This window comes from Homo sapiens, chromosome 15 (genome assembly GCF_000001405.40).
Source record: "Homo sapiens chromosome 15, GRCh38.p14 Primary Assembly".
Lineage (NCBI taxonomy): Eukaryota > Metazoa > Chordata > Mammalia > Primates > Hominidae > Homo > Homo sapiens.
In genome coordinates, this window is record NC_000015.10 from 89,450,669 (window position 1) to 89,469,922 (window position 19,254).

A 19,254-nucleotide genomic window follows, 5' to 3' on the forward strand; every position below is an offset into this window, starting at 1 on the left:
GACCTTCCCTCTGGGCTTGGCATGATCCTGCAGCGTCCTCCAGAGAGGGAGAGAGGGAACGAGAGGAGACCAGAGTGGGAGAGACAGAAAAAGACAGATAGAGACAGCCACAGAGACAGAGAGAGAGAGAGAGAGAGAGAGAGAGAAAGAGAGAGAGAGAACAAGAAGAGAGAGATAAGGAGGCAGACGTAGAGGGAGAGAAGGGAAGGGAGGCAAGGGAGCAGAGGAAGAGAGAGGAGGAGAGAAAGAAAGACGGAGGATCAGATCAATATACAGAAAGAGAGGGAGGATCAGAGAGAGAGAGAGAGACAGGAAATGGGGCTGCCTAGAGAGATAGAGAGAGACACAGAGAGACAGAGAACAAGACTGACAGGCAGAGAGAGCCAGAGACAGAGTGACAGAGAGAAGGAAAGAGACCAAGAGGAGAGAAGGTGAGAGGCCAAGGGAGGAGAGAAGGCAGGGAGCGCACAGCTTCAGGTGTGGGCAGTGCCCTTGAGGGGTGGGATGCGGGAGGGGGTGGGGGGCATGTCTCTATGGTTCTCAGGCCCTGAGGGGTGAGAATCAGCGCCCTCCCAGACGATTTGCTCTTTGCTGTGTTGCCCGGGCCAGGCCCACCTGCATCTGAAGCCCAGGTGAAGCCAGATCGACCCTTGTGCTGGGTCCACGATGCAGACTTCCAGGATTCACCTGTTCTAGACCACACTTTGAAAGGCAGAAGCGGGGCTTATGCTGGGATCCAGGGAGGCGCTGCAGATGGGAGACGCCACCTGCCCATCAAAGGAGTTTACATTTATTTGGGAACAGGTGAGACACAATTTTTCAAATTCTTAAAATTAAAAAAAATGTTATTGGTTTTTAGGGTAACAGAACAGGAGGGGATCAAGTGAAAAATAAAATTCTCCTCCCCTACAATACCCTCAAGTACAGTCTAAGGGATGGGATTTAAAATACTGGGGGTTCCCCTATCCTTCCCTTCCCTTGGTGGGATGAGATTGGGGCTACTGGTTGGCATCACGCCATGGTGGCATCTCTTAGGAACATGAGAAATGCCAGGTCCTTCATGACACAGCTTTTCACAAGTACCCATGTGTGTAAGTACACACACACACACACACACACACACACACACAATTTATGCTGCAGGTACAGCCGCTGGTGTATCCCTGGTGTATCAGGCACTGATGTGCTGCTCATAACTATGGCCTTTGGGACCCTTCACTGTCTTGTTCTCAGCAACTCAGGTGGGGGCATTTCAGGCACAAGAGAAGGATAAACAAAACTTGGCCAACAGGGGAGATGTCTGAGGGGAAAGATGAACAGATAGGCCAGGCTCATTCCTTTGTTTATTCAATGATTGAGTCCTTCTTCTAGCATTTACAGTGGTGTTTATCTTGTATGCATTTAATTGACAGTCATGTAATGATTCACGCTCAAGATGTTTTTAATAAAAAATACTGTGCAAGTATAGTTGAATATGCACTCTTTCTTGCATACTACACATTATATATCCATGATACATTTATACATGCATATTACTGTAAAGAGTTGTATACACAATACTATGATACTATGTATACTGACTTGCTGAGCAACTTAAAGTCCCAAGGATAATTTTTCTTTTTTTGGGGGAGATGGAGTCTCACTCTGTCGCCCAGGCTGGAGTGCAGTGGCACAATCTCAGCTCACTGCAACCTCCACCTCCCGAGTTCAAGCAATTCTCCTGCCTCAGCCTCTCGAGTAGCTAGGACTACAGGCATGTGCCATATCACCCGGCTAATTTTTGTATTTTTAGTAAAGACAGGGTTTCGCCATGTTGGCCACCAGGCTGGTCTCAAACTCCTGTCTTCAAGTGATCTGCCAGCCTCGGCCTCCCAAAGTGCTGAAATTACTGGCGTGAGCCACTGTGCCCAGCCACAGGGTAACTAACCCAGTTCTATTAATAGCACTAGCCCCACCCTCTGGGGGAGGGTTCTGGGTGGTTTAAGTCATTCACAGAGGTCCCAGTCCTCACACCAGTGAGTGGTTGAGGCATCGAAGTGTGCTGTGCCATTGGCACAGTCAGCTACTGCAGCCTAACAAACTACTTCAAAACTTAAAATAACAGCATTTCTTTTGCTCAACACAACTGTAATTGGGGCAGGAATCAGTGAGGACGACTTGTCTCTGCCATGTGGTGTCAGGTGGGCCAAGATGACTGGGACTGAAGGGCCCATTTCCAAGAGGGCTCACTCACATGGCTGGCAAGTTGTGCCAGCTGTAGACTGGTCACCCAGCCTAGGCTGAGGGCCAGGGGACCCCTGCTTGGCTGGGTTCCAAAAGTGAGTGTCCCAAGAGACAAGAAGTAGAAGCTGATGGTTTTTTATGGTCTGAGCCCTAAGAAACTGGCAGTGTCACTTTTGTCCTAGTTTATTGGTCAAGCAGGAACTTGACCCACCTAGCTCAGATTCAAGGGAGGGTATAGACCTCACGTCTCAAAGGGAGGGGTATAATTTAAGGGCGACGTTGTTAAAACTGTCATAGCCAAGAGAACATGGGAAGTCTATTAGGGGGATTTCTGGGAAAGGTTTCTTTGCTCTCAAAAAGAGACATAAGCATAGCTGAATAACAATTGAGAGTCCAACATAAGAAATGAGACAATCTCAAGAAAAACAAGAAGATCATACACTTGACCCTTCATTATTATGTTTCTAATTTCATAAAATTCAGTGAAAGGAGAAGACCATTATAGTATCTTCTACAATTGTTACATTTGGGATAATAATAAAGCATACCTAAATTACATATAATTGTGTGACTTATACTTTAAAAATCCTGTAGGATTTCAATATTTGATGGAAAAACTCAATATTGTCAAGATGTCAATCCTTCCCAAATTAAAGCATATATTCAATGTAATCCCACTGAGACTGGAATTTACAAGCAGACTCACTCATCTGGAAGAGTTCATCTGGAAAAGTCAACATGAAAAATTAACCGGGAAAAATTTGAGAGAAGAGATGTTCTTACAGGATGCAAAAGCACTTAAAAAGGGTTGTATGGTAGCACCGGTAACAAAAAATTGGAAACAACTTGAATGTCAACAGGGAAATAGATAAATAAATTAGAGTGGGGGCTGGCGTGGTGGTACACACCTGTCCTGTAATCCCAACACTTTGGGAGGCTGAGGCAGGAGGATCTCTTGAGGCCAGGAGTTTGAGACCAGCCTGGGCAGTATAGTGAGACCCTGTCTCTATTTAAAAAAAAATAAGCTGAGTGTGGTGGTGTGCACCTGTAGTCCAGCTACTTGGGCTGAGGTGGGAGGATCTTTTGTGCCCAGGCATTTGAAGTTGTAGTGAGCTATGATCACACCACTGCACTCCAGCCTAGGCAACAGAGCTCTCGCTCTGTCTCAAAAAATATAAATAAATAAGTTAATTAGAGCAGTAGATCTCAAACTTGAGCATACATCAGGATCACCCAGAGGCCCGCTAAAATGCAGATGGTCAGGCCCATTCTCAGTGCTTCTGAGTCAACAGGTTGGGAGGCATTCATTCAAGTGTTTGTAGCAAGTAAGTTCCCAGATGATGGTGATGCTGATGGTCCAGACCACACTTGAGAGCCACTGAATTAGAGAATGTTGTAAAACTGATAGAAACACAAGGGGGGTAAGCTGCAAAATAACATCATTTTTCAAAAAAAAAAAAAAGACTCTAGAACTAAAATGAAACCAACATATATATATATATACACATATATATATACATACACACATATAGATATATAATTTCACTTAAAAATATGTCTGAAAAGAAGAAAGTACATGAAAGGAAGAGATGGTTATTCCTCTTCCCCTGAGCACTGCTAGGTCTGCATGTGATGCCCAGAGCTGCTTGCCACCTTTATATTGACCTCAGGTTGAAGCCAATGGCAAGAGGTGTGGAGCCGTAAGACTCACAGGAAAGCAAAACTGAATGGACTTATGAGCCTGGAATGTCCCTGGGGAGATTCTCATATGAATTCGTAAATCCTCTTATGATTTAAGCCATTTTATTGGGGTTTTCCCAATAATAATGGTCAAAACCATCTAACTCATGCAGTAATGATTATGCAGGATTGTTTGTAAAGATCAAATAAGGTCATATAAGTGAATGCTCTTTGGGGACCTTGACATATAGTAAGGTTCTCACATCCATTCACCATTTACTATACTTATTCTGGAAAAACTTTCTGAGCTGGGCCATCTGGGGACGTTATGTGGAAGTTGGCAGATGCTCTGACCTCCAGGAGCTCGGGGAACACAATGGGAGCCAGGACAAGCAAAAAGAGGAATTTAATGGCTCGTGTACCTGGGATATCTAGGGCTGGGCTGGCCTCAGGTGTGGCAGTCCCTGCTACTCAGATTATGGCAACCAGCCTTTTTCAGTGTGTCTCAGGGCTCCTCTTTGTGAGCCAGTTTTATTCTTTCCTGCTGTGTAGCGTTTCCTCCATGCTGTAGGAGAAGAACATGAATTTCACAACCATAAACTTACTTCATACCATCTGAGCAAGCGGAGAGGAAAGACAAGGCTCCTTTTTCTCTGCCTTTGTTTACAAAATCCCAGGGAAGAAGGCTGATTGGCCTAGCTTTGTCAAGTGCCCTTATCTGTGCCAATCACCGTGGTCAGAGGGATGGGATACCATGCTTGGCCAAACAAATGTGTGATATGTGGTTGTTTACATACATCATTTATGATAGCTAGATATAGATATCTGCAGAACAATATTATCACAAATTCAGAGGCAGGCGATGCATATATGTATTCTCTCAGCTTCTGTGGGTCAAGAATCTTGGAATGGCTGAGCTGGGCCCTCTGCAAGCCTGCAATCAAAGTATGGGTCAGGACTGGGTCCTCATCTGGAAGCTTGACTGAGGAAGGATCTGCTTCCAAGCTCATGCAGCTCTTGGCACAATTCAGTTCCTTGCATTTACAGGACTGAAGGCTCATTTTCTTGCTGGCTGTCAGCTGCCCTCAGTTTTACAGGCCACTCTCAGTTGGGCCTCAAATGGCCACCTGCTTCATCAAAGCCAGCAAGAGTGTGAAACACTCCAGCAAGACAGGTGCTACAATCTTATCTATTTAGTTACGTAACCATGTACACAGAATCACCTGCATCCCATGCCTTTGCTGTATTCTATTGATTAGGAGCAAGTTCCAGGTCCTGCCAAACAAAAAGGAGAAAAGGTTACACAAGGGCAAGAATACCAGAAAGTGGGGGTCATCTATTTTTTTATACCTACATATTCATAGTTAGCATTTGTTGCCCATCTGCTATGTGCTAATTATCCCCTTTAATGCTTACAACTCACTCTGAGATAGATGTTGTCTTCCACATTTTACAGATAAGGAAACCAAGGCTCAAAGAAGTGAGGTGATCTGCCAAAGATCACACATGTAATTATTAGCAAAGATGGATTTCATTCTAAGTCTATCTAACTGCAACACATCTCCTCTTTTCCTTATATCAAGATGCTAATGAGGCCAGGTGCAGTGGCTCATGCCTGTAATCCCAGCACTTTGGGAGGCCGAGGCGGGGGGATCATTTGAGGCCAGTAGTTTGAGACCAGCCTGGCCAACACAGTGAACTCCGTCTCTACTAAAAATACAAAAATTAGCTGGGCGTGGTGGTACACACCTGTAGTCCCAGCTACTAGGGAGGCTGAGGCAGGAGAATCGCTTGAACCCAGGAGGTGGAGGTTGCAGTGAGCCTAGATCATGCCACTGCACTCCAGCCTGGATGACAGAGTGAGACTCCATCTCAAAAAAAAAAAAAATGCTAATGAATAAACCCTCTTGGATGTTGTTTTGTTTAGTGAAGCCAGCTATCTCTGGGCTTGGAACAACTGCATGTCTTTCCTCACTTTGGTGTCCCTGTAGCTGAGACTCTGGGCCCTTCCCCAGTCACACATGTGCCATTGAGCCCAAGTAAATAGCTATCAGTTATGTCCTTCCCCTACGCCTGTATTTTTCTTTCTTTTGCTCCCATTTGGGTAGTCCACTCTGTACTCACTGCCATCCTGTTGGGATGGGGCTGTCCAGGAAACACAGGTATGTTACCACCTTCCTGGCTTCTGCTTCTCAATGCCTAAGCTCCTAGAAAAATTCAGATTTGTGAGCAAAGACACAATATCTTGGAGCAGCAAAGGAAGGAGGGGATTCTTCTTTCTCCAACACCCTTGGAATAGAGAAAAATTCTCCCAGGCTGGGGAGGGAAGAAAGGGGTGATCTAATGATTGGGTGTTATTACCTTAATTTACAAACTGAGATTCACAAATCCTCACAACTTTAAGGTGTGTTTCCAACCCACATCCCCTTCTCTGAGCCCTTCCTATCCCTCCTACAATGGGTTGTATATTTGTCAGGATATCAGTCTGGTTGCTGCATGAAAAGACCCACAAGAATAGGGCTTAAACACAAGTTTACTTCTCTTACATAAAAATCTGGGTGGATGGCCTAGTGCTGGAATGGTGGCCCCATAATTATCAGGGACCCAGACTCTTTCTGTCTTGTTGCTCTGCCTTTGTTAACATGCAACTTCAATTTCATCTTCATGTCAAGGGGCAGGAAGAGAAAAGGGCTTCCTTCCTGGAGCCTGACTTAGGAAGTTGTGTACTCCACTTCCACTCATTGGCCACAGTTTGATCATGTGACCACATGCTAGCTGCAAAGGAGTTTGGGAAATGTAGTTTTATACTGAGAGGTGACATGCCCCTTTATTCTACAAATAGTTATGAAGGGTAGAATAGAGAGAGTGGGACAATTAGCAATCTCTACCAGTGGTCCTATGTGGTCCAGCCCTGTGTCCTTAGCTCTGTTTCCTTGTTGAGGAGAGTTTCAGGCATAAAAGCTTTTAATATGGTGGCTTTGCATCTGTTGGTGCCTTCAGGAAACAAGAAAAGAGTGGACAGGGGCCAAAAGCCATGTCCAAGTGTATCAGCAAGCAAGGAAAGGAGGGTCAGCATGGGGGTCCTGCTAGGTGTTCTGCACCCAAAGCAAGTTCCAGGGGTGAAAGCCTTGTCCACTCTTACTGCCTGCCATCCTGATTGGTTGTGCTGTGCCCAGACCCCTCACTCTGGTTATCCCCTTCCCCAACTCGAAGAACAACTTTCCAACTTTTTTTTGGTGTGTAAGGTGGCAGGGGGTTTCTAGGCTGAGGAAAAAATTCTGTAGGTAGGATCTGGGTCTTCTACTCTTATAGCCCATGCTCAAATAAGGGAAGAATGCAGCAGGTTGTAGGTTTAGGTCCTGTAAGTCCTGCATCAGAATTAATGCCCAAGCCCCTCAGTATGTCCATTGTCTTAATTCACACGCCTGCCACCCACATTCACAGCCTGCACGTCGCTGACCTGGGTCAGTCCCAGAAAAGCCTCATAAGTGTTCATAGATGGCATCTTTGCTTGCTAACCTCTACCTCATTCTCCCAGTGTAGCCAAAGTGAATGCATGCATTCATTCTTTCACTCATTCATGCAACAAATAATGATCAATCCTGCAATGTGCCCAGCTCATCCCTTGGCAGATGGGGTCTCTGCCCTTGTGGAACTGGGGAGACTGGCCGTTAGCTAATGGCACAGAGAAGTACACCATCACGGGTGCCTGTAATCCCAGCTACTCAGGAGGCTAAGGCAAGGAGAATCTCTTGAATCCAGGAGGCAGAGGTTGCAGTGAGCTGAGATCACACCACTGCACTCCAACCTGGGTGGCACAGTGAGATTTTGTCTCAAAAAAAATAAAACACACACACACACACACACACACACACACACACACACAAACAAAAAGAAGTGTAGCAACACAAACTTGATTACTGCTATGGAGAAAAAGTACAGGGTACAAAAAAGGCACATGTAGCAATGGAAAAAAATGGAATGGGATAGGGTATGTAAAACATTCTAGGCATCAGGCACAGCCTGTGCAAAGGTCCTGAGGCAAAACCGAGTGTGACTAATTCCTAGAATTAAATGAAGCCTTGAGGTTGGTATCCCCAACAGCGAGGGGGGAGTGGAGAATGCTGTTCCCGATCCTGTCACCCCTACTGCTTAAAACTCTTCAATGACTCATTCCCATTAGCTTTAGTATAGGATCCACATTTGCCCTTGTTTAGGTCCCTGCCTTCCCCTCCGGCCTCATGCCTCACCACTCCTGACCTGGATGTTCTGTTGCCTCCCAGGCACTGGACCCTCCATCCCCAATCCTTTGCCTGAGTAACTCCTACCAGTCTTTCAGGACTCAGCTTAGACATCATAGTCTCTAGAAAGCTGGACTGGATATTCTCCTGTTTGCCCCTTCAAATCTAACTGCTCTCTGTAGGTTTTGCCAGGAGGGAGGGAAGTGAGGTCAGGGGCCTGTTCTGCAAGTTAGCTGTGTGGCTGTGGGTAAGTTACTCAACTTCTCTGTACTTCAGTTTCTTCATGAGGTAAAATGGAGATAATAACTGCACTGACCTCATAGGATTATTGTGAAGATTAAATGAATTAATAATATATGTAAAGTGCCTAGAGCTGTGCCTGGCACATAGAAGTGCCTTGTGTTTGCTGTTATTGGTCTTTAGTCTTCTCCTGTCCTGGACTGGGTACTATGTCATTGGTTTCAGTCTTGCCTCTCCTCACAGGACTGGGGAACTTTAGGGTCAGAGTGCCTGCGCCTCCCTGCACTCCTGCCTCCTAGTACTTTGCCCAGTGGAAGTCATATGGTAACTGCCTAACCAGTTGTATTTGCTCTAAGAAGAATGAATTTCTGGCCATCATCCCATATGGAAGTAAACATGAACTCTGGCCTTTTCTCCCAGCTGGGGGATAAGGGGTTCTGATCTCTGAGATCTCTCTCCACACCCTGACTCCCAATACCACCCTGCACCCCAGCCTCCTGCCAGCTGGCAGCAGGGCAGATCCCAATGGCCCTGAAATGGAACAGTGAGGGGCACTGGTGGTGAGGGTAGGGTGGGTGGTGAGAACAGTGGCCTTGTGAACACCTGTGGACAGGGGGCTCTTCACATTCACAGGGAAACTGACAACCCAGGTGGGTCCAGAGGGAAGTGGCCAGGGTGGACAAGGCCTTCAAATCTGAGAAACAGAGTTGTTGGGGTTGCCACCCCCAGGGAAGAGAGGAGGAGTCTTTACATGCTGAAGGGGGACCTGGGGAGGAGAGAAGACCCTTTCTGAGTAGCCCAGGAGGCAGGGAAATGCATGCACTGCAGGTTCTGTGTCTGGACTGATAACCATTGTTCCTAATGACCTTTGTTCCTGAGCAATGTGTCCAAGGCTTGACACTGCTGTGTGCCACAGCCCCATGCTGACAGTGACCACAGCACACACCCCAATGAGCTAGTGCTAACCGTCCCCTGACAGTGCCCTCCCTTGGTTATCTTAGTCTTCTGCATCCTTAATGCATCATACAGAACTGGGGTGGGGGGACAGCCAGTTCCTGTTTGCTGGTTGAAGGAAGGAATGAACGGGGGCATCATGTGGTGGGGGCAGGGCAGAAGAGACAGAGGGATCAGATAGAGCTGGGTTCAAAACTCTGCTCCTCATCTCCTAGCTCTGTGGCGTTGGGCAAGTCACTCAGCTTCTCTGAGCCTCAGTAGTCTTGTCTGTGAAATGGGATACCCAGTACCTACTTTTCTGTGTTGCTGTCAGTTTTGGTGATCTACTGTGTAAACAAAGGGTGGCACAGTGATTGGTGCCTCTGCCTAAAGGCTCAAGAAACAAAGTAAGAACTTCTTTCCAAATCTCTGCTTGTCCCTGAATCTGTGTGTAGTGAGACTCACCCTTTCAGGACCCCGTCTTTCTGGCACCTCTGAGTCCTCTGCTGCTCCCAAACTTCCAGCCTCAGCCTGTCCCATAAGGGAACAGACACAGGGGACAGAGAGCTGCCCACCTTCACCTTGAGGGAGCCTGGAGGTCACCTCTTTTGTCCAGCCCTCCCTCTGGGGGTCCTTGCCTCCCTACCCCATCCTTCATCTCAGCCAGCCCAAAGGGACATCCCAGAGAACAACACAAGCTGGACGGTGCTGGAATTGGTGGGAAAAAAGCCCCACGCCGGTGAGGAATGAGTTCCTGAGGCCTGGGCGCCCCACACCCCCTGGGCCCGCCTGCTCCCTGCAGAAGGATCCCTGGTACCTTCTATTTTCCCAGCCAGGAGGCCGGCCAGTTCCCACATTACCACATGAATGGGGCACAAGCCCCCCTGTCCACTCGAGCAAACAATTTGGCTAGCAAATTGACATAATTACAAGAGACAGCGAGGGAAGAAAAACGCCCCCCACCCCCTTGGCCCCCCAGCGGATGACTCCCGCCGAGTTCCTCGGGGCTTTGTGGGCCGGGCGCTCAGGGCTGATTAGAAACCTTGTGGCCTTTTCAAGAGCCCTAAGTGATTGGTCCCTTAATCTGATTACAATTTGCAGAGCCCCTCCAACCACCTCTGAAGGGCTGTTCTCAAGCGCCCCGCTAGACGATGTGCGAGTACACACACACACACACACACACACACACACACACACACACACACACTTAGCACCCACTTGGGCCTGCTGGGCGGGGGCTCTGCCATTTTCATTCTCATGCCTCACTCCCTCAGTCAGGCACCTCAGGCCCCGTTCCCTGTGCCCCAAACCTCAGACACACAAAGGGCCTGACACTGCCCCTAATACATGGGGTTGCCCATCTTTAGAGGGTCCCACACAGATACAACGCCCAGGCCAGGGACATATGTGCACACACACCCCTGTGAGTGCACCTTCTCATCTCCCATCCCTTCTCAGGGTGGCCGCCCCGAGCATCCAGGGTGAGGCTGCCTGACCCCATCAAGGGCAGCCTCTCTCCCCAGCAGCGGTATTTCTGGGGCTCCTTGGGCCACAGCTCCCACGGGATTAGGCCCAGCAGGCTGCCTGGACACTGTTCAGGCACAGGCTGCCCAGGGACAGGACTTGGGCTGCTCCCCCCTTGGGAACTCAGCTCACAGGGACTTCAGTCAATGGCCTCAGCCCTCCACATCCAATTTGTATCTCTTAATCCCTGGGGCTGAGCCACAATGCCTCCTTTTCCTGTACTTGCTGGGGCTCTCATAGGCCCCAGCCTGGCCTCCCACCCTAAACAGAGCTCCCACTGGGCAGCAGCTCAGGATAGGAGTGGGGTGGGGGACAAAGCAGGGGCCAAGGCAGGAGGGGACAGAAGTGGGGTCTCTGCCCTTGTTAACTGTTCCACCCTAGAAGATGCAAGTTGGGCATGTGTATGAGGATAGGGAACATGTGTAGGGCCTTCCAGAGTGACCCCCCAGCCTGCTGTAACCCCATCTGTTGTGCACCTCAGGCTGGAGGCCCTGGGAGGGGTATTGTCTACTTAGGAACCCCATCCTTTTGTCAGGTCATCCTAAATGCCTGGAGCCTGGAGCCAGAGAGCAGGAAACACGGAGTCCAGGTTCAGACACTGGAATCAGAAGGATCTGTGACCTTGACTGAGTGACTTATCCCATCTGGGCCTCAGTTTTCCCACGTGTAAGATGGGAATGCTGCAGCCTCTCTCTCTCTCAGGGTTGCTGGGAGGCTAAATGAGCTGAGGCACATAAGACCCTCAGCATGGTGCCCAGCGCAGTCAGTGCTCCCTGCCAGGCTGTGTCAATGTTCACAAGTCAAGAACAAAGAGGGGACTTGAACTACAACCATCAAACACACCGATGGGGCAGTCTGTGTGTGCACCCCCTGTATCCCTGTGGAGAGAAACTCAGGCTCTGCAGGGCTCTCTAAGGACCTTCACTTTACCAGGAGGAGCTTCTCAGTTGCCCACGTTTGTCAGATCTACCTGATCATGTGACCCAGTGCTGGTTTTGGAAAGAGGGGCCTCAACCCAGATCTCTCCCAGGGAGGTGAGGCAGGAGAATAGGGTCCGAAAGCAGGGAACCTAAGGCCGATGCATGCTGACTGGCTATCAGAGGCTACTGACTTTTCAACCCCTCCTTTGTCTGTGTGGCAATTGAAAAATGAAAGTACCTCTGATTGGTCCCCTCCCACAGCCAATCAGACTGGTCGTGGGCCTACTCTTCCCCTCCAGCAACCAATCAGACTGGTTGTAGGCCACTACTTCATTTGCGTAGAGTGAACCAATGGGAAACCTCTAGAGGGTATTTAAACCCCAGAAACTCGTGTAACCCATGCTCTTGAACCACTTGCTCCAGGCATCTCCCACCCTGTGGAGTGTACTTTCGTTTAAGTTAAATCTCTGCTTTTGCTGCCTTGTTTTGTCCAATTCTTTGTTCAAAAAGCCAAGAACCTGGGCAACTACGCTTAACTGGTAACATATGTTGGGGAACCAGCCAGGAGGTAAGCCCAAAGTTTAGGATTTATTTTTCTCTTTTTCCTCTTTCTCTCTTCCTTTCCAACTCAGGACCCTCAGGAGATAGCGCCTATGCACAGAGGCAACTGCAGGTTTGTGGCCAGGGCTACTCTCTGGTGAAAACAAAAGGTTTCTATGTGGAAGCGCCTACCCCCAACTGCCCGGCTTGGGTGAGGGACCAAGTCCTTTTCTTTTTCAGTCTTTCAGCGGCCGTTTCCTAGCAGCTCCTTAGTAATTGAGGGCAACTGGCCAGGACCACTCTCTGGTGTTACCTGAAGGCCAAGGAGTGACCGGTGATAGCTGCCTGCCTGGAAGGGGGAAGGGCTCTTTTCCGTCTTGTCCAGTTATCATCCCTGAACCCTCCATGTGATGCAGTTGGCAGTGGCAGCCCATCCAGGGTGAACTCATGTTTCAGGCGAGTTAAACCTTGTTTCCTTATGCTAAATTCTTCCCTTCCCCTACTCAACTGGCTAAGGACAAGTCAGAGGGTTTGCGCAGATGGTTTGTGTGTGTCATGCGGGGGGATTCATAAAAGGGAATTTATGTACAATTTAATCTTGCCTAAATTTAGAAAGTTAAATAATTGTTTTAAGTGGGATAGGAAAAAATCCAAAGGTTTGACTGAAAATTAATTTCTAGAAATCAAGGCCTTCATCCAGGGACAAGAGGGAAAGTTCATAGTGGGCCATCAGTGGTGGAGGAAACCATTCCATAGTGGTGTCAGATCTAAGGTCAGAGACGTCCGACAGACTAAGATGGGGCCCTAAAGAGGGATGTCCCCCAGGACCCCAGTCAGGGCCCAGAATTTTTCCAGGGGGATGACCCGTGTAAAATTTGGGTCACCTAATGGGCCCTCCACTTTCCAAAGTCCTCTTCTCTTTTCCAGACCACTATAGGCAACTCTCCATCGATTCCACCTGATTCCTCTATGGGCCACTCTCCATCTATTTCACCTGGTACCCTGCTTGGCTACATCCTCCACCATTGAAATCAACTTTACCCTGACAATCTAAAGAGAAAATGTATGATTCTTTTTTTCTGCAATACTGTTTTACCTCATTATGAGCTGCTCAGCCCGGAACAGCGGGTGGTCAATGGTGGCCTTAATTATGACACCATCCTGCAATTAGACCTATTTTGTAAAAGGCAGGGCACATGGTCAGAAATCCCATATGTACAGGCCTTCATGGCACTATACTGAAACCCAATAATCCCCTCAAAGGAAAGTCCAAAGGCAGAACTAGATATAGACAACCCCTTTTTACAAGGGCCACCTATCTCTCAGGGTGACAGAAACCACCCCCATATAGCCCCTTGCCAAGTGCTCCTGAGGCTAAAACCACAACACTGGGGACCCTACTAAGTCCCCCTCACACTTGGAGAAGAACACCATATTCAACTCTCCCGCCAGCCCTGCTATCCCTTAGGGAAGTAGCAGGAGCTGAGGGGCCAGTCCTAGTGCAGGCCCCCTTCTCTGTAACTGATATACAACAATGTAAGGAAAAGCAAGGAAGCTATTCCGAGAATCCCAGGAAATTCGCAGATGGGTTCCAAACTTTGACCTTAGCCTTTGATCTCTCATGGAGAGATGTTCAATTCATTCTAGCAACTTGTTGCACCCCTTTGGAAAAGGAACGAATCTTTGAGGCTGCCCGCCAGGAAGCAGACAACTTATTTGCCCAAAACCCTCAGGGCAATCACCTGGGCCCAGACACAGTCCCCACTACTGACCCTAATTGGGACTATAACACACCTGTGGGAATGAACAACTGGGCTAAATTTCTTGAGGCTCTCCTTGGAGGAATGAAAAAGGGAATAACTAAGGCAGTAAATTATGATAAAGTGAGGTTACACAGAGCAAGGAGGAAAATCCAGCCACATTTTATGGCAGACTGAAGGAAGCCTTTAAAAAATATACTAATCTGGACCCTTCCTCTCCTGAAAGCAAAATATCAGTGGCACATTTCATTCACCAATCCACCCCAAACATTAGACATAAGCTCCAAAAGCTACAGATGGGGCCCCAAACTAATCATAATCAGCTTCTTGATACCACCTTTATGGTGTATAACCATCGTGATCTGGTGGAAGGAAAAAGGGAACAGAGTAAAAAAAAATAGCAAGCCAAAAGTATGGCAGCCATCATTGGCAATGCCCTGAATGCCCAAAAAGCATCCAAGGGAAACCCAAAGGGCCATAAGGATGATGCCAGAAAGGGCTCTTGCTTCAAGTGCAAGAAAACTGGGAAATGGGCAAAGGACTGTACTACTCCCCCTCCAGGCCCCTGCTGAAAATGTGAGGGCACCAGTTATGACCCCTGGCACTGGAGGATTGATTACCTTTGCTCCCACCAAGGAGCTTCATCAGGCAAAACTCTAGCTGTGCACAAGGAGGAATCAGATGAAGACTGAAGGGGCCCCAGGTCTTCCTCACTGCCCCTGTCCAGGAATATCGTAATTACTACTGAGAAGCCCCCGGTAACTCTGTATGTCATGGGCACCCAAATTCATTTTCTTTTTGATACAAGGGCAGATTACTCTGTTCTTACTGCTTATACAGGAAAACTTTCTTCCCGGTCCATGAGTGTTATGGGAATGGAAAGAAAGCCATAAAAAAGATTGTTTACTCCTCCTTTGATTTGTCAATTTGAGAAACAAATCTTCCAACAGGAATTTCTAGTAGTACCAAGATGCCCAGTCCCCCCGTTGGGAAGAGATACTATGGTTAAAATAGGGGCACTACTACAATTTAAGCATCACCTGGTGAAATTGCTAATAGTAGAAAATACAATGTCCCAGACCACATTAATGAACAGGTTAACTCACTAGTATGGTATGCTGGGAAACTAGGGAAGGCCAAAACAGCAGTGCCAGTCAAAATATGGCTTAAAGACCCCAGCTATTTTCCCAATTGAAAACAATACGCAATTAAGCTGCAAGCAAGAAAAGGCCTAGCACCCATAGTTGAGGTATTACTTACCCATGGGCTCTTAAAACCTTGCAATTCTCCCTGCAACACCCCCATCTTAACCGTTCTAAAGCTTTTGGGGAAATACAGGGTAGTATAGGTTCTCAGAATAATTAATGAGGCTGTTATCTCTCTCCACCCATTGATGATGGATCTATATACCCTACTGGCTCAGGTACCAGGGGATGCAAAATGGTTCTCAGTCCTACACCTAAAAGATGCTTTCTTCTTCATTCCTCTGGTTCCAGAGTCCCAATACCCTTTTGCCTTTGAATGGGAAAATCCTAATACCAGAGAAAAACACTTGGGCAGTGCTCCCCTAAGGCTTTTGGGATAGCCCCCACTTCTTTGCCCAACCCTTAGAGAGGGATCTGAGGGGTCTGCAATTGGAGGATGGGAGTATACTCCAGTATGTGGATCACCTTCTTGTGTATAGCCCAACCCAAGAGGCTTCTGACCAAAATACTATAAAAACCTTACATTTCCCGGCTGACAGGTCATACAAAGTGTCCAAAAAGAAGGCTCAGATTACTCTCCAACAGGTCCACTGTTTAGGGTACATCTTAACACCTGGAACCTGCAAGTATCCCCAGAACGAGTGCAAGCCATATGTGGTTTGGGCCCCTCCACCCCAAGCAGCAGCTTCATTCTTTTTGGGGAATGGCCAGGTTTTGTGGAATATGAGTACCAAATTTAGGGCTCATAGCAAAGCCCCTGTATGAAGCAACAAGGAGGCCTGAAAATGAGCTAATGGAATGGACCCTGGAAATGAGAGAAGCCTGTGCCAAGCTAAAATAGGCCCTTACCCAGGCTCCAGCTCTTGGGATCCCAGACCTAACTAAGCCCTTCCCTTGTATGTAGCAGAGACGAATGGCATAGCTGTGGGAGTGCTAGTCCAGAAATTAGGATCAGAACCCAGACCAAACACCTACTTTTCAAAGAAGTTGGAGAGAGTGGCCTTGGGATGGCCAAGTTGCCTGTGGGTAACAGCAGCCATTGCTATGTTAGTGGAGGAAGCCACTAAAATCACCCTGAGCCAATCACTGGAAGTTCTAACCCCCCATCAGGTAAAGTCAGTCTTAGAGATAAAAGGACACATCTGGGTGATGGGGGAAAGGTTAACCAAATACCAGGCCGTGCTCCTAGACAATCCAGATGTAACCCTTAAAACCTGTAACACTTTGAATCCAGCTTCATTGATACCCATAGGCCCAATGACAGATCATTCCTGCGAGCCAGTCATTGCACATGCATATGTTAGCTGGCCTAATTTAAAAGATCAGCCTCTCCCAGATTCTGAGGACTTGTTCACAGATGGCAGTTCTGTGTCAAATGGGGAACACTGAGCTGTGTATGCAATAGTCAATCACAACACCCTTATCGAAGCCCAGCCACTGCCCCTTGGCACATCAGCACAAAAGGCTGAAATCATTGCTCTTACCCGAGCATTAATTTTGGGACAAAATAAAAAGCTTAACATCTATACAGATTCTAAATATGGCATTCCTTGTGGTTCACGCTTATGCTGCAATCTAGAAAGAAAGGGGACTACTAGCTAGCAAACCCTCCCCCATAAAGCATGGGCCTGAAATTCTTCAGCTATTGTAAACAATACACCTGCCACAGGCCATAGCTATAATCCATTGTAGGGGGCATCAAAGGGACTTAACTCCTATAGCACAAGGGAACAGAAAGGTTGATAGAGAAGCCAAAGCCACATCCCTCAGGGTGCAATCCCAACAGATCCTAGCACTGATTCCTTTCTATGATTCCCAGTGGATCCCAAATACACACTACAGGAAGAACAGTTAATAAAGGAGCAAGTGGGGCAAAAAAAAAAAAAAAAAAAAAAAGATCCTGGTGGTATATGAGATCAAAAATACATCTGCCTCAAACAGCCCAATGGAGAATTATAAAAACCCTGGATGACTCCTTCCATATGGGGAGAGATGCCACCCTGGCCATGGTTAACAGGCTCTTCATTGGGCCTAACTTAACTTCGGTGGTTAAGCAGGCCTGTCAAGCCTGCTCACTGTGTGCACTTAACCCAGGAAACAAAATGCCTCCTCTAATAGAACCAGACCAGAGGAGAGGAACTTACCCAGGGGAAGACTGGTAATTAGACTTCACCCATATGCCAGCTTGCAGAGGATACAAGTTTTTGTGAGTGCTAATAGATATCTTTACTGGTTGGGTCAAAGCTTACCCTACCAGAACAGAGAAGGCTAATGAGGCTATAAAGTTTCCCTTAAAAGAAATAATCCCCCGGTCTGGGTTACCTCAGAGCCTCCAAAGTGATAATGGCTCATCTTTTATCTCCCAAATAACTCAAGGGGTTGCTAAGGCTCTTGGAATCAAATACTATTTACATTCAGCATGGAGGCCTCAATCCTCCAGGAAAGTAGAAATGGCTAACCAAACTCTAAAATGAGTGTTAGCTAAACTATGTCAGGAAACATCAAAAACTTGGGTCAGCTTACTGCCTATAGCCCTCTTAAGGATCCGTAATACCCCTAGAGCAAAAATTAATATAACCCCCTATGAAATGTTATATGGAAGGCCATTCTTAACTAGTGATTTAATTACTGATCCAGAAACAGCCAGTTTAGCAAGATACCTAGTTAACTTAAGACAATTTCAGCAGGCTTTACAAAAGTTTGGAACTCAAAGGCCCCACCATACCGGGAACTAACCAGCAACCCAAAATCAGGCTAAGGGATAAGGTACTTGTTAAAACATAGAAGGAGGGATCACCTGCTCAACAATTGCAACCCCAATGGAAGGGACCGTTTTTAGTGGTACTGGCTATGCCTTCTATGGTCAAGGTACTAGGATTAGATAGTTGGATACATCTTTCAAGGATCAAGTCTGTGATACCTGAAGCCAGGGACCAGGAGCCTGAAGTTTCCATCAGACAGTCAAAAGACAAGTAAATGCCTACCAACTTTCCTTGGTGTTTTTGTTGCATAGTTACTGTAGGCTGGATAATAGCAGCCATGTTCTCAGATTTCTTGCAGTTTAGGTGCTTTCTTTCAAACGATTGGAATCACTTCCTTTGTAGTGACTAAGCAGACTGTTGTAATTCATTCCTATAACAAACATTCCTGACAGCATAGGTATCCACCCCCTGAAGTTCCCATTAAATCTTTTAACCAAATTCATTTCCTCTCACCTAGAGACCATCAAGTTTCAGATGATCCTGTGACAAGGTTTCCAGCCTGTTCCAAATGAAGGCAGCACCCCTGGCCATCAAGAAACTACCCAGTCTCCACTCGATAGATAAAGGCAGGAGTTCGGGGATCCCCAATAGGTAGGGACTGCACCTCAAGTCAGGGTGACGCAGTTACAGAAGAAAGACCATCAGTCACTCTGTCTCCCATAAAGATTTCTGGGGATCATGTCTCTCGGGGGAAATGAGGCAGGAGAATAGGGTCTGGAGGCAGGGAACCTAAGTTCGATGCATGCTGACTGGATATCAGAGGCTACTCCCTTTCAACCCCTCCTTTTTCTGCATGGCAGTTGCTGCCTGGCAGTTGGAAATGAAAGTACCTCGGATTGGTTCCCTCCCGCAACCAATCAGACTGGTTGCGGGCCACTACTTTATGTGCATAGAGTGAACAGATGGGAAACCCCTGGAGGGTATTTAAACCCCAGAAAATCCTGTAGCCCAGGCTCTTGAGCCTCTTGCTCGAGCCCGCTCCCACCCTGTGGAGTGTACTTTCGTTTAAAATAAATCTCTGCTTTTGCTGCCTTGCTTTGTGCATTTGGTCTAATTCTTTGTTCAAAATGCCAAGAACTTGGACAACTATCCTCAACTGGTAACAGACGCGGTGGGCATAGGCTCTTAGTGTAGCCTGCACATTGCACAGGAGGGAGTTGGAAGCCAGCGCTGGCCCCCTCCCCTCCCTGTGCAGCCCCCAGGACCCAGGTCATGTGATCAGGAGG

At 47.4% G+C, this 19,254-nt stretch overlaps 2 long non-coding RNA genes across 3 annotated transcripts, besides 1 other annotated feature; one reads left to right on the forward strand and one right to left on the reverse strand.

Annotated features, from left to right (window-relative positions):
* Positions 1-1,330: 1,330 nt before the first annotated feature.
* On the reverse strand, positions 1,331-18,604 carry LOC105370964 (uncharacterized). Of its 2 annotated transcripts, XR_932600.4 has the most exons (3): positions 18,482-18,604; positions 6,028-6,110; positions 1,331-5,178 (listed from the first exon to the last, which is right to left on the reverse strand). It is a non-coding gene; the product is annotated as an uncharacterized LOC105370964 (long non-coding RNA). The 2 variants fall into 2 exon arrangements; XR_001751653.2 differs by lacking the exon at positions 18,482-18,604 and having other exon boundaries at positions 6,028-6,283.
* Positions 12,052-12,101: a silencer, noted in NCBI's record as "silent region_6798". NCBI's record gives its function as "represses an Ori minimal core promoter by ATAC-STARR-seq in GM12878 lymphoblastoid cells {active_cell/tissue: GM12878}" and the evidence as "EXISTENCE:reporter gene assay evidence [ECO:0000049][PMID:35858748]".
* LOC112268153 (uncharacterized) lies at positions 12,161-19,063 on the forward strand. The gene is made up of 2 exons (XR_002957725.2): positions 12,161-13,364; positions 18,486-19,063. It is a non-coding gene; the product is annotated as an uncharacterized LOC112268153 (long non-coding RNA).
* The last annotated feature ends 191 nt before the right edge of the window (positions 19,064-19,254 follow it).